Source organism: Homo sapiens, chromosome 1, assembly GCF_000001405.40.
Source record: "Homo sapiens chromosome 1, GRCh38.p14 Primary Assembly".
Classification (NCBI taxonomy): Eukaryota; Metazoa; Chordata; class Mammalia; order Primates; family Hominidae; genus Homo; species Homo sapiens.
The window spans coordinates 75,147,004-75,159,267 of record NC_000001.11 but is presented as its reverse complement, the minus strand read 5'-3'; the positions used below and the strand labels follow the sequence as shown (position 1 = coordinate 75,159,267).

At 38.2% G+C, this 12,264-nt stretch overlaps 1 protein-coding gene across 5 annotated transcripts in view; it reads right to left on the bottom strand.

The window, feature by feature from the left end:
* Positions 1 to 12,264, bottom strand: part of LHX8 (LIM homeobox 8) — a 71,021-nt gene that overhangs the window by 40,187 nt on the left and 18,570 nt on the right. For all 5 annotated transcript variants that reach the window (NM_001001933.1, XM_017001316.2, NM_001256114.2 and 2 more), the window contains 2 exons: positions 10,586 to 10,681; positions 2,192 to 2,375 (listed from right to left, as the gene is read on the bottom strand). In NM_001001933.1, coding sequence (NP_001001933.1) covers positions 2,192 to 2,375; positions 10,586 to 10,681 — 280 coding nt within the window. The remainder of the gene's footprint in view (positions 1 to 2,191; positions 2,376 to 10,585; positions 10,682 to 12,264) is intronic.

Sequence of the window (12,264 nt, the reverse complement as noted above, 5' to 3'; positions counted from 1 at the left end):
GAGCAAGAAGGTCAATAGCTGACTTTACCAATAAATGGGGCCAGGTTAATTAGCTATCCATATGCAAAACAAACAATGAAAATCAGAAGACAAGGTAATCATATCTTCAAAGTGCTGAAAGAAAATAACTACCAATCCAGATTTCTACTTATAGAGAAAATACCACTTACAACTGAATCAAAAGAAATACTTAGAGATAAACTTAACAGAAGATGTGCAAGATTACTAAACAGAAAAGTCTAAATCATGAGATGATTTAAAGATGATCTAAACAAATGGAAAGACATGCTAAAGTTCATGGTATGGAAGAAAATACTGTTAAGATGGCAATTTCCTAAAACTGATCAATATATTTGCTGTAATAGATTGTATCAAAATCTTAATTGTTTTCCCTTTTGGGGTAGAAATAGACAAGTAGGTAAATTTTATGAAAACATAAAGGGCCAAGAATGGGCAATACAAACTTGAATAACAACAAAATAGAAACACATTATCATATATTAAAAATTATAGACCTACCATGATTAGAATGATTAAGTAGCAACACAAAAATAAATAGACCAATAAAATAGAACAGAAGGTACAGAAATTGACACAACATACGGACATTTGATTTATGGCAAATATGTCTCTACAGAGAAGCTGGACATTTTCTATTTTCATCAACATAACAAAAAAGCTTCACTTTCTACCTCACACCACACACAAAATTCAGTTCCAAATGAATTGTAAATCTACACAGCAAAGGTAAAACAAAGTTTCTAGATGATATCATAGAAGATATATCTTCATTATCTTTGAGTATAAACAATTTCTTGCACATGTCACCAAAAAAAGCATGGCTCATGAAGGAAAAATGATGAAATAAACTACATTAAAATTAGGAACTTGTGCTCAATGAAACATTCCATTAAGAGAGTAGAAAAAGCCAAGCAACTAAGTAGGAGAAAATATTCTAAGCACATACAATTATCAAAAAGCTTTATATGCAGATTACATGAAGAAATTAAGCAAATCCATTTAAATAAATAATAAAGACAAGCCAGTAGGCCAAAAGACAAAAAGACTTGTACAGCTCTTCACAAAAGAGAATATACAAATACCTGATGAAAAAATGCTCAGTCATCAGGGAAAGGCAAATTAAAATAAGATTGCACTGCACAATCATCAAATTTGCTAATATCAGGAAGTTACACCATACCAAGTGTTGGTGAGGATGTGAAGCACCTTGAACCTTGCTGCTGGTCAAGGTGTAAACTGGTTCAACCACTGTGAAAAACTATCTGTCAGAATGACTGAAGTTGAGCATATGTGTAGCCCATGACCTTATGTCCCACTCCCAGGTACATATCTAGTAGAAATGTGAATTAATGTGCACAAAAAGCATGTACAATAAAGTCCATAGCAGCATATTCATAAAAGCACAAACTGGAAAAAACACAAATATCTATTAACCAGGAAATGGATAAATTGTGGTATATTCCTACAGTGGATTTCTATATAACAATGAAAACAAATAACAGATTCTCACAATAATATAGGTGAATCTCACAATGTAATTGAAAGAAGTGAGACACAAAATACATTCTGTGTGGTTCAAAAAGGGCAAAACTAAAGGGTGGTTTTAGAAATCAGTGCCATGTTACTTTGGGAGAAAAGGATAATAATTGGAAGGAGACATAAGAGAGGCTTCTGAAATGCTAATTATATCTGCTACTTTGGGCAATATCTATATGGATACATTCATTTTATTAATTCATCAAGCTGAATAGTTATTACGTATGCACTCTTCTAAATGTATGATTTTCTTCTATAAAAAACAACTCTTTAACAAAACTTATTAAACTCCCATCTAAAGATCTGAGTGAACACTTGCTCTGATCACAGGAAATAAAGTATTTAAATATTTACCGGTAAAAACAAACAAAAAATTTCTAAGTAAAGATCAAGCATTGAGTCATTATTAATATTTGCATCTTAGCTGCAAAGTGAGTATTAAACTTCTTCCTTAAAATGTAATCACAGAAATAAAAATGTTTGGATAATTTTGCTCTCTACTGCACCCCCCACAATATTTTTCAGCTACTACTGAGGTAATATTTCAAAATGTGAATTGTATCAATAATCTAATATTAGAAGTTACCAGTTGCTGATTGCCTGGGAGACAGCTGTTAAATGTTGGGATACCTACCATCCATATAACTATGCAGCGCAGTTAACATCGTTCCATCTTGGGGCACGTAGGCAGAATAAGCCATTTCTTCTAACATGGGTGGAGACAGCCTGGAGGGTGGGACTGCTGTGACTGGGGTGGAGGATGAGTGATTAGGACTGACGTGTTTCTTGTGGCGTGCTCTACAATTCTGAAACCACACCTGAGCAGGGAGAAAAGCAACAGAAGTAGGTAGGTTACACACCAGCTTCTGAGCACATTATCAACTCAGTTAAAAAATGAATGCAACCTCAATCACACTACCACACAAGCACCGCATAAATGTAACTCAGCTTTTATAAAAGTTCTATAGACAGAAAAGAAACATTTTAGTCCAAATAACAGTGGTCATTTTTCTTGCTCAGTTGATAGCTCTCTGGTGATTTACCTAAAAGCCAATTCTATTTAAGTAGGAAAGGGGACCAATTGCTTAAGGGATTTTGGTTTGTTGAATTTGAGTTGGTCAAACGTTAAGGTTACCCCTTGAATGCAATTATTAAACTCTATTGGATTTGACTGGGTGCTGTGGCTCATGTCTGTAATTCCAGCACTTTGGGAGGCTGAGGCAGGCAGATCACCTGAGGTGAGGGGTTCAATACCAGCCTGGCCAACATGGTAAAACCCCGTCTCTACTAAAAATACAAAAACTAGCTGGCCGTGGTGGTTGGTACCTATAATCCTAGCTACTCGGATGGCTGAGGCAGGAGAATCACTTGAGCCCAGGAGGCAGAGGTTGCAGTGAGCTCAGATTGCACCACTGCACTCCAGCCTGGGCGACATAGCAAGACTCTGTCTCAAAAACAAAACAAAACAAAACAAAACAACAACAACAACAACAACAACAAAGCCCAAACAAAAGTACCCCAAAAACTCCATTAGATTTTTTAAAAATAAAAATAAAAGCCAATTCTATACTAAAACAGCATCTTCCCCAGAAAAGGTGGGGAAGGGCCCTCAAGAATTCCAGAGAAATCTCCTTGGTTTTACTACTGGTATTTAGGACAAAAGGAAAAGCAGAAAAAGCTCTTTTAATCAGAACTTAAAAAAAAAAAAAAAAAGACTACTAAATGTATTCTTAGGCACCTGCTGGACTTATTTCAAATCCTTGTTCAAATGACTAAAATCCCTACTGAGAACTTAAAGCTTTCTACAAACCTCTTGATTCAGTTATTCCAGTCAGATTTTAACCTGCTGAGTTCAATTTCTCTTGGTGAATACATAGGCTATTCCCTAAGAAGCATGTTAAGGTCAGGTCTTTAATAAGAAAAAAACTCATAATATTTAAGTAGAATTAAATACAAACACATCCACTGATGAGAGTTCACAAAATGTAAAGTGCTAACCACCCTGCTGTCCACTCTACTGCAGAAATAAAAGAAGCAAATTCAGGGCAAGTGGAGCTTTACATCCAGGTCAGGGCAAGTAAGTCTAGGCTGCCCAGAATGCTTCCAGTAGCTAATATGCCTGTGTTTGAATTCCCTGACAGGTGATAAAACTTGACCATAGAGAGTGTTTCTTCATGGGCCGGGCGCAGTGGCTCACTCCTGTAATCCCAGCACTTTGGGAGGCCAAGGCGGGCGAATCACAAGGTCAGGAGATCGAGACCATCCTGGCTAAAACAGTGAAACTCCATCTCTACTAAAAATACAAAAAATTAGCCAGGCATGGTGGCGGGTGCCTGTAGTCCCAGCTACTTGGGAGGCTGAGGCAGGAGAATGGAGTGAACCTGGGAGGTGGAGCTTGCAGTGAGCCAAGATCATGCCACTGCACTCCAGGCTGGGCGACAGAGCGAGACTCCGTCTCAAAAAAAAAAAAAAAAAAAAAAGAGAGTGTTTCTTCATTAAAATACTGTATCACTTTTTTTCCATCACTCCAAACAATTCTGTCATGAGAGGAAAGAGAGGCGAAGGGATAAAAACTTAGCATGAGAACATTTTGGGATCAGGGATATGAGGCCAGGAAAACATCAGGGGCATAAGTCTGTTCAAGGCTGGTGGTAGGGCCTTGATGGCACAAGGCAATCAGGGCTGATTAATGTGAAATAAAAGGAAGCTGCAAAGAATTTATAAGAAAAAGCTGGCCTTACTTCAGAACTACACCCTGCCCCTGGCATTCAAAAATAGAAGGTTGGCAAAGTATACTCTCAAGAGTGATTAAAACTAAAAGAATAAAAAATTAATAATCTAGTGGGGTATATAGCCTTGAGCAGGAGGCTGAAAAGTAGCAGCTAAGGAATGTTTCTGGGACAAGACTTAGGTATCCACCAGTAAGACAAGTGGGAAGTCACAGCCTCCTCCACATCCCTGTTCTCTGGAGTGTTAGTGAGACTCAGAGATACCTATAGACCACACCCCAAACTCCACAGTTCTGCCCACAGGCTCTGGAACAATAGATGTCACTACTAACACTAGTCTCACCCAAATAGGATGACATTACTCAAACATTCTCCAATGTGTAAGGGGGAACCACTGCCACCGGCCTTTTTCCCTTATGGGACCCAGAAGACACATACGCCAGAGGACTACATATAACCTAAAACATGTTGCACTATGATTCCCAGAGTTTCTTCAAAGTATCTTTTTGTCTCCAATAAGTTATATATTGAATGGAACCTATGCAGTTGTAAAACAAAAGAAACACCATCTTTTGATTGAAAAAAAAAAACACTCAAACTTTGTAAATAAACATGAAGAAGGTATAATATAAACAGCAGAATAACTATCTTGTTAAGCAGCTTCTTGGAAAGATCATCCACAGGTAATCAAGCAGAAGGAGGTTTGCAAAAACAAAGTATCATGTAACTAACTGGTAGAGCAAAATATAGTTTAAGATTCCAGACATCAGGAAATTCCTTCTGGCATGAATGCTACCCAGCTTCAGAATCAAGTATAAGTCCTTTTGACTCTCCTCACTGACAAAATTTCCTCCTTCTTGTTTGCAAACCTCCAACAAGAGTTAACATTTTCTGAGTAACTACTTTAAATTTTTTGACTTCTAAATCATAAACTAAGCTAAAATCAGGCCATGTAGATATAATGGAAAAGCAAAATACTAATGCAGAGAATGAAACCTTTAGAAAGCCCAGACAAAAAGCCAAATATAATAATTTTGTATATGACAAAGATGGGATTTTATTTTATTGGGAAAGCATGTTTCACTGATTTAGGGAAAACTGATAGTTTATCATTTGAAAGAGAGAAAAAAATAGATAAAACCCTATCTCCCATGAACCAAGCCAGATAAATTAAAGTTTAGGCGTAAATAATTGAAACAATAAAAGTTTAAGAAAACAAAAGGCAACATTGAAATACTCTCTAGATAGGGAAGCATAAGAAAGGCCAAAACTAGACCCGGCGTGGTGGCTCACACCTGTAGTCCCAGCACTTTGGGAGGCCGAGGTGGCAGATCACAAGTTCAGGAGTTCAAGACCAGCCTGGCCAACATGGTGAAACCCCATCTCTACTAAAAATACAAAAATTAGCCAGTCATGATGGCAGGTGCCTGTAGTCCCAGCTGCTCGAGAGGCTGAGGAGGAGAATCACTCGAGCCCAGGAGGCAGAGGTTGCAGTGAGCTGAGACTGCACCATTGCACTCTAGCCTGGGCAACAGAGCAAGACTCCATCTCAAAAAACAAAACAAAACAAAACAAAAAGGCCAGGCGTGATGGCTCACTCCTGTAATCCCAGCACTTTGGGAGGCCGAGGTGGGTGGATCACGAGGTCAGGAGTCGAGACCAGCCTGGCCAATATGGTGAAACCCCGTCTCTACCAAAAAATACAAAAATTAGCTGCGTGTGGTATCACGCACCTGTAGTCCCAGCTACTCAGAAGGCTGATGCAGGAGAATCGCTTGAGTCCGGAAGGCGGAGGTTGAAGTGAGCTGAGATCGTGCCACTGCACTCCAGCCTGGGTGACAGAGTGAGACTCCATCTCAAAAAAAGAAAAACAAAACAAAAAAAAAGGCCAAAACTATCAAAAGACTGGGAGATTTAAACACATAGAAATATAAATGTTCTGTGTGGAAAAAATAAAAAGGAAATTGATGAACCGTGAAAGGTTAACATGACAGATAGGATTAATAAATATCAGTAAGATATAGAGAAAATAACCCAACAGAAGAGTGAGCTAAAAACATACGGTCTTAAAAATGAAAAAATAAACTAATTTGTTCAAGCTCATTGATAATATAAGAAACAGAAATAAAATCAATGAGATTTTCTTTTCTAACTATTAAATTGTAAAGGATGTAAAAGAGTAACAGTATTCAGGATTCTTCTGAGTTGGGGAAAAGGAACTCTTGTACGTAGCTCCTGGCAGAATAAAGTTGTATGAACTTTCTCAAAGGCAAAGAGATTTCATGTTTGTATAAAGGCCCTATGCATGTTTTATCTTTGGACTCAACAATCTCCCTTCCAGAAATTTATCCTGAGGAAACTATTGAACAAGCACGCAAGGTAGATATACAATGTTGCTCATGGCAGCATTTTATAATAGTGAAAAATTGGAAGCTAAATAAATTGTGCTATGCTCAATATATGTGGCAATAAATATGATGTTAATATGGAAGGGTATTCCTAGTACACTGATTGGAAGAAATAGCAATAGTTTACTCTGTCTCTGCACAACATAAAAATCATAATTCACTTATCTGAAAGAGTATGTGAACAGTGATTGTATCTGGATGCAGTGTGTGGGGAAAAAAATCACTCATCTTTATTCTTTGACTTCAGTATAAGGACAGTCTGCTTTATTACAAATGTCTTACTAAGCATATTTGTAACTAGGAAACGTGAAACTCTCCACGTATCACACCAGTTTCCTCCTAATCTTTGGGTGACCTAGTTTGCATATTAGAAGAAGTCTAGTAATAAAAACTCTTTTTTCTTACCTTTCTAAAATATTATGCCCAATGCTAGGAAGGAGGCTGAGGGAAAGTATGATTACTATTTGAGATCACAGTAATTCTTATAAAATACTCTGAAGGGCTACAACATATAGTGAGCCTATGTATAGATACAAATAATAAACACATAAGCATGCTAGTACTCTTTCCTTTGGAATCATATCAAAAATATTTAATGTTCAACCTTAACATATTGAAAGCCAACATTCAAAATATATTCTCCAAATGGTAGGGCTTAGGACAAAGTTAACTTGCTCATAGTACTAGTAACCTAAATGCCTGGAAATTACATGACAGATGTCTGCCTGTGTTCCTTAGTCCTTCAAATATGAAAAGCTCTAAGAAAACTCTCCTTCTTCTTTGCTTCCAACTTCAAAATGATATAAGTCATGCATCTGACTTACCTGAAGCTATCATTGTTATGAATATACAGAGTCTTAAATTAGAAGGAACTTTTAGCCCGTGGAGTCGGAACTACCTGCCAAAGAAAACTGTTCTCCCAGGCAGAGGAAACTCACTACCTTCCTTGGTAGTCCGTGCCATTTGTGTAGCCTTTCAATAATGAGAAAATTCATTATGAGTGAACACCAGTGCCTTTTTCTACATTCCGTTGCAGGGAAGCCTTTCACAAATATTTAAAGACACCTACTCTGGATATTACTCTTTCTCTTACCATCTCCTGGCCTTATCTCCAGATAAATATCCCTGCTGCCTTTAATATTATGGCATGATCTAAATCTTTCACAACCCTGGTAGCCTTTGAGGTAGTATGTTTTTCAGATTGCTTATTAGTCCCTTCTTAAAATTTGGCACTCTGAAATAAGCACAATAATCTGGATATCTGAAAGTGCTGAAGTGGTAGAACTTGTCTCCTAAGACAGCCTCATTACCTTGCAGTCAATTAAAACACTGTGAACCCTAGGTCTTTAGAGAAGCTGCAGTATCATCAGGTCTTTTCCATCTGCTTCTTCGTACAGGTGATTTGTTAATTATGAAACCTTTAGGCTTACAGAAGAATAAGTACCCATGTATCAACCACCCAAATTAAGAAACAAAATAAAATATGTGCAATGAAGACATTTGCCTTTCCCCTCCCTGAGTTTCCTCTTGCCTTTTATGGTTACTTGCTTTCACTCCTTAAATTTTTTGAACTTCCGGTGTTATTTAAAATTATTTTCCGGCTAGGCACGGTGGCTCACCCCTGTAATCCCGTCACTTTGGAAGGCTGAGGCGGGCGGATCACAAGGTCAAGAGTTTGAGAACAGCCTGACCAACATGGTGAAACCCCGTCTCTACTAAAAATACAAAAATTAGCTAGGCATGGTGGCTTGCACCTGTAATCCCAGCTACTCAGAAGGCTGAGGCAGGAGAATTGCTTGAACCCGGGAGGCGGAGGTTCCAGTGAGCCGAGATCACACCACTGCACTCCAGCCTGGGTGACAGAGACTCTGTCTCGAAAAAAAAAAAAAAAAGAAATAAAATTATTTTCCATTTCCCTGGTCTCTCTGATAATCTTGACACAGCTGGCCATCTCGTTCTTGAATTCACCCCACTTCTTCAGCTTCCATGCTTCTTCTCCACCCGACTCCTTCCTCAACTCTGGCTGTTACTACGTCCCATTTAAATAGCACCTCTTACCCTGCTCTCCTCTCTGAAACCCGTTCTTCACCTTTTATACCCTATGATCTCTTTCTAAAGGATCTTATCTAATTTCATGGCATTAGATCTCTTTGCTTGAGTCCTGTTCATTCTTTCAAATACCTGTTTGCATAGTTAACTGCCACCATCACTGCATAATTAGCACAGCTAAAAGGGTCCAACTTCCAATCCAGCTTTCTTTTGACTTTCACATTCCTGTCAATGGCACCATTCCCAAGATTACTTTGACTTGAAATTTATAAGTCACTGACTTTTTTGAGAGAGGATCTTACTCCATCACCCAGGCTGGAGTGCAGTGGTACTATCATGGCTGACTGCAGCTTCAACCTCCTGGACTTAGGTGACCCTCCCACCTCAGCCTCCCAAGTAGCTGGGACTGCAGGTACACACTAGCATGCCTGGCTGTTTTTTTTCCTGTAGAGATGGGGTTTCACCATCTTGCCTAGACTGGTATCAAACTCCTGTACTCAAGTGACATATTTGCCTTGACCTCCCAAAATGCTGGGATTACAGGTGTGAGCAACTGAGCCTGGCAGAGTCATTTACTCTTTGACTCCTCTCTGCTTCCCCATTGCAGTTACCAATTCTTTCTTGTCTTTCTAGCATCCATCAACTGTCATCAGTGTTCACTCAATAAAATGTTTCTCAGCTGGGCATGGTGGCTCATTGCCAATAATTCCAGCACTTTGGGAGGCCAAGGGAGGAGGATTACTTGAGTCTAGGAATTTGAGACCAGCCTGGGCAACACGGTGAGACTCTGTTTCTACAAAAATTTAAAAATTAGCCAGGCGTGGTGGTGTGCAACTGTGGTCCCAGTTATTTGGGAGGCTGAGGTGGGAGGATCACCTGAGACCTGGAGGTCGCTGCAGTGAGCTGTGATTGCGTCACTGCACTCCAGCCTAGGCCACCCATGACCCTGTTTCAAAAAGTTTCCCAAATGAATTCTACCCCAGTAAAGTGTCTCTTCAGAAACAAACAAACAAAAAACAAACAACAACAACAACAACAACAAAACCACACTACGTTGCTGGGCATTCCAGCCTTCCAACTAAGCTGCTTACCTCTATCTAGTCTCTCCCAACTCCAGTTCTTCCCATGTGCTGTGACTAGCCCTTTCTTCCTAAAATCACATATCATGGCTTTTACCTGCTCATAAGAGAACTCTGCATTCACAGGCCTCTCCAACTTTAACTCCAACAATTTCATTTCCCACTATTTCCAAACATAAATTCTACATTTGAAAAAACTTGCACTAATTCATCACTTTTCAGCTTTGTTCACACCAGTTCCTCTCCCTGGATCTTTGGCAAAGGCCATCAGCAGCCATCACACACACAATCATAAAAAAAGTAGGAAAAACACTGACCTTAGAGCAAGATTTATCTTGGAACATGTTTAGCCTGAGGATCTTAGGGTTGCTGTGAGTACTGAATGAAGTAACATGAGCAAAGACTCATTTGACAAATGGTAGCCTAGCCCAAGCAGGATAATCATTACATTTTAAAAATTTGATTTAGAATGTGAAGAGACTTAAAATGAAAAAGCAATGTTTTCACATTTCTTCACACACAAAAAAACACCAATGCATACTTATAAATACCCAGAATTAGAACTTTTTGTTTCTCTTGATTGACCTTTAAGTTAATCACCTGTGGCCAGGTACAGTGGCTCATCCTGTAATCCCATTACTTTGGGAGGCTGAGGTGGGAGAATCACTTAAGCTCAAGAGTTCAAGATCAGTCTGGGCAACATAGGGAGACCCAATATCTATTTTTTAAAAACCTTAAAAAAAAAAAAAAGTAAAGTAATCACCTGTATCACACGTCTGCTCAAGCCTGTCCTTTCTGCCAATTTCTGGAGTGTCTGTGCATCTGGGTTGTTGTCCTGAGCAAATTGTGCTTGCATAACCTGTTGTTTAAAACATGTATGTAGTAAATAGCTAAAAACAAGCAGCTCAGTCTTCTTCCTGCATTTTTATCATAAGAGGTAAGACATGCACAAGAACATGGGATACTTTTGTTACTTGAAAATCGGTATGGGGAAATATGGGTAAGTGAAAACGAATGCATATTTTGTAAATTTATACACAAGTTGCTATGCTGAGAACTTTAAAAAAATCCATTTCAATGTAAAACTCTCTCAACTATGCTGTTAAAAATAAGCTCACCTTTTCTTTTCTTTCAATCTTATAACCCACAAATCAAATAGCAAGAGTTTCATTTATTGTTTTTTCCATTTTGTTAAAAACTGCCAACATTTGAAAACTTAATACAAAAATCATATCACATTTGTCTCCAACCTTTCCTGAGCTAAAGATGTTCAAGGCCCCTAATACCTAATAGTATACAGATCAACAGAAGGATTCCACTTAATTGTAACAACTCCATCATAGTTTTGAGCACTAGCTCTATGCAAAAAAAAAGGTGTCTAAAAAGAGACACTCACCAGTCCACTGAATAAGAATTTACCAGAGTCTAAACATGTATATATTTTAAAAGCTTACAGGTGATTCTGATGTAAGCCTTTGGATTGAAACCACTATGCCAAGTGCTAAGAGATAGTGAAACATGAAACAAAACTCTTTGGATTTAATTTCCTGGCAGAAAGATGCCGACATGCCAATGACTACCTATAATAAAAGATAAAGGGAGAAGAGTAGTGTGGGAGAGAGTACCAGAATATAAGCACAAGCCAAAAACTTTGAATTCTTTCAGAAAAGAGAATCATTATGAGAATTAAGTGAGATACTTGAATTTTATTACTAAAAGTCAGTCAACTGAGGGAAGCATTACAAAATGTAAAAAATGTATTATTATGAAGAATGAGAGAGAAGAGCTTGGCACCCAATGTGATTGTGCTTGTCTACAGGCATAGGATGTGGGTAACCAATCTATTAAAGACCTCAAGCACTGCTGGACTTCACTCTTTTCAGCAGGCAAAATTAATTGCATTCTCCACTATGCTCCTCATATAATGCTATCTTCTGCCACTGCACTTGTCACAGGGTAGCTAAATAATTTGTTTTCAAGTTTATCTCCATAGTGGAAAGTGAGTTCCTTGAGATCAAGGGGAATGTCTTATTTTTCGTATCCCTAGGAGTTAAACTCCCTTTCTGTCAGAGAGTATGTTAAGAGTTTCTGACAGAGTAAAACTTGGCAATGTAAGGAAAATCTGAAGACAGTGTAGAAAAAAAGGCCAATATTGTTCTGGGAAACCTTCTGAGGTTTACAAATTTTGAGATTTACAAATTTACCCTTCTAGAATTAAGTATTCTTGGCTTCCCATCTAACTATATTGTATCTACAGACTCACTGTAAACAGAACATGGATTTTTGCTTTTAAAAAAGGGCAGAATTGGCTTAAAAGTTTATTCTTGCTCAGTTCACTTTATTCTTTCTTTCCTACTCCAAATGTGTTACTTTGGTATCTTCCTGTGAAAATAGAGTTATGTTTCTATGCAGTTGAACATGTAATAACCCCAAAAAGAACGA